This window comes from Homo sapiens, chromosome 7 (assembly GCF_000001405.40).
Source record: "Homo sapiens chromosome 7, GRCh38.p14 Primary Assembly".
In the NCBI taxonomy this organism is placed as follows: Eukaryota; Metazoa; Chordata; class Mammalia; order Primates; family Hominidae; genus Homo; species Homo sapiens.
In genome coordinates, this window is record NC_000007.14 from 120,069,188 (window position 1) to 120,075,739 (window position 6,552).

The following is a 6,552-nucleotide window of genomic DNA, read 5'->3' on the forward strand; positions in this document are numbered from 1 at the left end:
GAAAAAGAACCAATACAGACATGTACAGATCTCACCTCACCACTGGGGTCCCATATAGTTCTTACAGTCACTAAGCCCAGCTAAGGGAGCTACCCAGAATTAAGGTAGCTGTGCTCTTCCAGAGAAGGAGCTTACACTGTTCCCCACCCCAGTGGCCACATGACTGCTGTCCTATATCATCTTGGAATTAGAACTACCAGAGTGTGTCTTACACTGGGGGCAAGCAGTCATTGCTGCCCTTCATTAATGAGACTAAGTTGCCAGTGGGCCACACCGGTCTGGTGGGCTAACATCCCAAAGCCAAGCTGCAAGCAGATGTTATATCCTTCCTTGTGGAACCAAATTGAAGTAGAACCACTCCAACCACTTATCCCCTTGTTCCCTGTGCCTACAGCTGAAGTGGTACCATCTCTCCTAAGAAATATTACCTTAGCTGTCAGAGCAGTTATGTCTCCAAGGTGCCTGTGTTGAAGCAGGGCCCTATATGCCGGAAAATGTTCCTTTGGCTGCCAAGAGCAATCACATGCCCCAGAACCTAAGGAGAAGAGCCACCTGGATCTCAGGAAAATGGTATTTGCACTGTGCATAAATATGTCTATCCAGCTCACAGACATGAGCTTAAGCTCATTGCCCTCTGAAGAAGTGGAACTCTGGCTGAGCTGAGAAGCTAAACATCCCAGAGCTAAGCTGATGTAGTACCCCATGTCCCATAAAAATAGAGCAGTGGCTCAGCTGCCACATTTCATCATACAGGCGAAACATCTCTAGTACCCTGCTTGCCTGGAGCTGGACTAGCCCCCTTAAGCATGAGCTGCTAAGATACCTCCCTCCCTGTGGAATGGAGCCATCACTGAGCTATTCTCTACCTTGCTGCAGGGTCCAAATGATGGCTGTACTCTGCCATTCTGTGTTTCTTGCTGCTGCTGCAACTGGCCTCACAGACTCTGGGATACCATTGAATTCTACCATCCCAGAGTATACAGTCAATACTACACAGTGCTTCATTCCCTGAGATCCAACTTGCTACTGTACCCTATTAAAATGGGTTTTCTGAGCCCTGTTTAGTCAGATTTAACCCCTTGGGTAGAATCACAGCTAGAACCTGACACCCTGAGTCGAAACTGCTAATTGGTGCCTCAGAGTCACAGATTCTGGCTCTGTGGTCAATCTACACCCTACCAAGCCACAGAGAGTGAATCATCAGCCAAAGACCAAGGTGCCACAATAGGTTTGCAAGCCCCTTAGCCTATGACTGTGGCCCCACAGCCACTCCAAGCACCTGTGCCTGGAACCCAGTGCTACTGCAGCTGCTTACAGGCTATGTCAGACTTGAGAAGGATACTCTCAATTTGAAAAGTGGAAATAGAAGGACACAAAAAACCCTTGACACTGAGGACATTAACAACTTATACCGCCACTGATGCTCCCACAAACTTCCACAGCATAGGCCACTGAGGCACCTGAAGTCATTGGTGAGATTGAATGCAGCTGCAAAAGCTGCACAGAGACCACACTACTGCACCTATCCAGAAATGCTTATCATACCCTTCACAAGCAGCATACTAAAACCCAAATGCAAATGAAAGTCTTTCTCTACAAAGAACACTCAAGAAAGTTTTGAAGCCATAATTGCTCTACCAGATGCACAGACATTGACAAAGAAACATGAGAAAAATAAAAAATAAAGGAAATGTGGTGCCATCAAAGGAATAAAATAACTCCTTAGTAACAGATCCCAATGAAAATAGAATCAATGAACTTTCAGAAAATAAATTAAAATAATTGTCTTAATGCAACTTTGTGAGGTTCAATAACAATACAGATGGACAAGTCAATGAAATTCAGGAAAGAAAAACTATGATATGAACACAAATTCAAAAAAACTATAAATTATTTAAAAAATAAATGGAAATCTTGCAGCTGAAGAATTCAATGAATGAAATAGAAAAATACAGTAGGCAGCTACAATAGCAGACTTGACCAAGCAGAAGAAAGGCTCTCCGAATTTGATGATCAGTAATTTGAAATTACTCAAAGAAAAAAATGTAAGAATAAAAAAGAGTGAGGAAAACCTACAGGTCTTACAGGAAACCGTTAAAAGAACAAATGTTCATTTGATGAGAGCTAGACAAAGAGAAGGAATGAACGAGGCATTGCAAATCTGCTTAGTAAAATAATAGCTGAAAATGTCCCAAGTCTAGAGTGAGATATGAGCATCCAGGTACAGAAAGTTTATAAGACCCCATAAAGGTCCTCTCTAAAACATGTTATAGTCAAATGTCAAAAGTAAAAGCCAAAAAAAATTATAAAAATAGCAAGAGTATCAAGGCACATAAAAGGGAATCTCTATTAGACTAACAGCAGGTTTTCTGCAGAAACGTTGCAAAGGAAGAGAATGGAATGATATATTCAAAGCACTGGGGAAAAAAAACTTGCCAGCCAAGAGTCCTAGCAAAGCTATTCTTCAGAAATGAGAGAGAAATAAAGTTTTTCCTATACAAGCAAAACCTGAGGGAATTCATCATTACAATGCTGATCTTACAAAATAATGCTCAAGGGACTCCTGTATCTAGAAGTGAAAGATGATAATCATTATCATGAAAACACACAAAATTATGAAATTCACTAATATAGCAAATTCAAAAAGAAGAAAGAGAAAAGAATTCTAAATTATCACTATAGAAAACCACCAAATTGCAGTGATAAACAGTAAGAGGAAGAAAGAAACACAAAATATAAAAAAATGACCAGAGTACAATGAACAAAATTACAGGACTAAGTCCTTACCTATCAATAATAACCTTGAATTAAATGTATTAAATTCAGCACTTATAATACATAGACTTGAAGAATGGAAAAAAAACACTCAATTATATGCTGCCTACAAGAAACTCACTTTTCCTGTGAAGTTATATAGACTGAATATGAAGAAATAGAAAATGTACTCCATGCAAATGGAAACCAAAAGCCAACAAGTGAGGCTACATTTATATCCGATAAAACAATCTTTAAGTCAAAATCTGTAAAGAGAGACAAATAAGGTCCTTATATAATGATAAAGGTATTAATTCAGTAAGAGTATATAACATGTCTAAATATATATGCATCCAATAACAGAGCACACAGATATATAAAGCAAATATTACCTCTAAAGGGAGAGATAGACTCCAATATAGTAATAGTTTGGGATGTCAACATTTCACTTTCAGCACTGGACATATCATTCAGACAGATGATCAACAAAAAAACATTAGATTTAAACTACACTTTAGACTAAATGGACCTAATAGACATTACAGGACATTTCACCCAACAACTGCAAAATATATAAGCTTCTCATCAGCATATTCACCAGGACAGACCACATGTTAAGCCACAAAACAAGTCTCAACAAATTTAAAAGAATTAAAATAGTATGAAGTATTTTTTCTGACCACAATGGAATAAAACTAGATATTAATAGTAAGAGGAACTTTTGAAATTGCACAAATATGTGCACATTAAAAAACATGCTACTAAACGATGAATAAATCAATAAAAAATTAAGAAGAAATCAAACAATTTCTTAAAACATGGAATAGAAATGCAACATGCCAAAACTAGGGATACAACAAAGGGAGAATTAAGGGGAAAGTTAATAGCAATCAATGTCAACATCAAAAATGTATAAAGATTTCAAATAGACAACGATGCATCTCAAGGAATTAGAAAAGTAAGAACAAATTAAATTTTTAAAAAAAGGTAGAAGGTAGGCAAAATAAATTTTTTGAAAAGAGAAACAAAATCAATGAACACTTAGCTACATTAACCAGAAAACAAAAGAAGACCAAAATAAATAAAATCAGAAATAGAAAAGCAGACATTATGTATAATACCACAGAAATACAAATAGTCATTAGAGACTATCATGACTATTACAACTATACACCTACAAATTAGAAAATCCAGTTGAAATGGATAAATGTTTCGACACGTACAACCTAACAAGATTGAACCAAGAAGAAGTAGAAAACTGGACTAAACCAATTACAAGTAATGAGATTGAGTTTTTAACAAAAATCCTTCCATCAAAGAAAAGCCTAGGACCTAGTTGCTTCAGCGCTAAACTTAACCAAACATTTAAAGAATTAATACCAATTCCTCTCAAAATTTTCCAGTAAATTTAAAAGTAGAAAATTCTTATGAATTAATTCTACAAGACCAGTATTACCCTGATAACAAAACCAGAAAATGATACAACAAAAAGATGAAAATTATACTTCAATGTCTCTGATGAACATGGATGCAAATATTTTCAAGAAAACCCTAGCAAAATGAATCTAATAGCACATTTACAAGGTCATTTATCATGGACAGATGGAATTTATCCCAGGGATGCAAGGATGATTCAACATGAAAATCAATAAATAAAACACATCACATCAACAGAATGAAGGAAAAGTATGATCATCTCAGTAGATGCAGAAAAAGCATTTGATAAAATTCAAATTCAATACTCTTTCATAAAAACTGTCAAAAAGTTAGATATAGAAGGAATGAACCTCAACATGAAGCCCACATATAACAAACTCACAACCAACATCATACTAAATGGAAAAATCTTGAAAGCTTCTTGTCTAAGATATGGAATAAGACAAGGGTGCCCACTTTTAATCAACATAGTACTGAAAATCCTAGCTAGCACAATTAGATGAGAGAAATAAGCAATGGCTATCCAAATTGGAAAGTAAAATTCTCCCTCTTTGCAGACAACATAAACTTATATTTAGAAAAACTGAAAGACTCCTCCAAAAACTCTTAGAACTGATAACTGAAGTTTTTAAAGTTGCTGGATACATAATGAACACACAGAAATTAGTAGTGCTTCCTTACACCAACAATAATCTATCAAAAAAGAAATCAAGAAAGCAATCTCACTTATAATAATTTCAACAATAAAATAACATGCCCAGGAATAAATTCAACTAAAGAGGTACAAGAGCTCTGCTATGAAAACTAAAAAATACAGATGAAAGAAATTTAAAAGGATACAAACAAATTAAAAGAATCCTATGTTCATGGATGGGAAGAGCTAATATTATGAAAATGACCATATTACCAGAAGTAATCTATAGGTTCAATTGAATCCCCAGGAAAATACCAATGACATTCTTCAAAGAAATTATGAAATTTGTATGGAGCCATAAAAGACTCTGACTAGGCAAACAACCCTGAGCAAAAAGAATAAAGCTAGAGTCATCACACTACCGGACTTCAAAATACACTACAAAGTTATAGTAATCAAAACAGCAACTTGGTGGCATAAATCAGACACATACACCAAAGAAAGAGAATAGCAAATAAATAAATAAATCTACATACATACAGCTAATTGATACTTGACAAAAATCCAAGAACATTCATTGGGGAAGGGACATTCTCTTCAAGAAAGTGTGCTGGAAAAACTGGATATACATATATTAAAAAAACAGATTCCTATCTTTCATCATATATAAAATTCAACGTACAAGGAACTCAAACAACCTAACAGTAAACAAATACACAATCCAATTAAAAATGGGCAAATAAGCTGAAAAGATATCTCTCTAAAGATGACATACAAATGACCAACAGGTATATGAAAAAATGTTCAACATCATTAATCATCATGGAATTGCAAATCAAAATCACAATGTGATATTATCTTATGCTATGGTTATTATCAAGAAATAATAAATGCTGGTGAGGAGGCAGAGAAAGGGGAACTTTTATACACTGTTGGTAAGAATATGAATGAGTCCAGCCATTACACAAAACAGTGTCCACACTTTTCAAAAAAGTGTCCACACTTCAAAAGGCTAAACATAGAGTTACCATGTGTTCCAGGAATCCCACTACTGGATTCATATAAAAAAATCTGCATGTCAAAGAGATATCTGCACTCTCATGTTTACTGTAGCATTGTTGACAATAGCCAAGATATAGAATCAACCTGAGTCTCCATTAATAGATTTATCTTTTAAATGTGGTATATATACACAATTGAATACTATTTGGCCAAAACAAAAGAACGAAATTCTGTCATTTGTGGCCACATGGATGAGCTTGGAAGACATTATATGCTAAGTGAAATAAGCAAGGTGCAGAAAGGTAAATACCTCATGTTCCCATTCAAATGTGGAAGCTAAAAAAATTAATATCATAGAGGTAGATTGTAGAATAATAGTTACTAAAAGTGAGGATAGGTGGCGGGGAGAGGGGATAGTCAAAGTTGGTTAACATATACAAAAGTACAGCTAGATAGGAGAAATGCATTCTAATGTTCTGTTGTATTATATGGTGATTATAAATAATGACAATGTATTGTGTATTTTAAAATAGCAAGAAGAGAGGATTTTGTTGAATGTTTGCAACATGATGAAACAATAAATATTTGAAGTAACGGATATTCTAATTACTCTGATTTGCTCATTGCATGTTGTATACATGTATTGAAATACGCTGTACCCCTTAAGTATGTGCATCAATTATGTGTCAATTAAAATTATTTAAAAAGCAAAATAAATATGTATA

The 6,552-nt window shown here is 35.1% G+C and overlaps 1 annotated feature.

Annotated features, from left to right (window-relative positions):
• Positions 307-508: a silencer, noted in NCBI's record as "fragment chr7:119709548-119709749 (GRCh37/hg19 assembly coordinates)". NCBI's record gives its function as "represses an EF-1alpha promoter that drives an FKBP-Casp9 reporter gene in an ReSE screen in K562 erythroleukemia cells {active_cell/tissue: K562}" and the evidence as "EXISTENCE:reporter gene assay evidence [ECO:0000049][PMID:32094911]".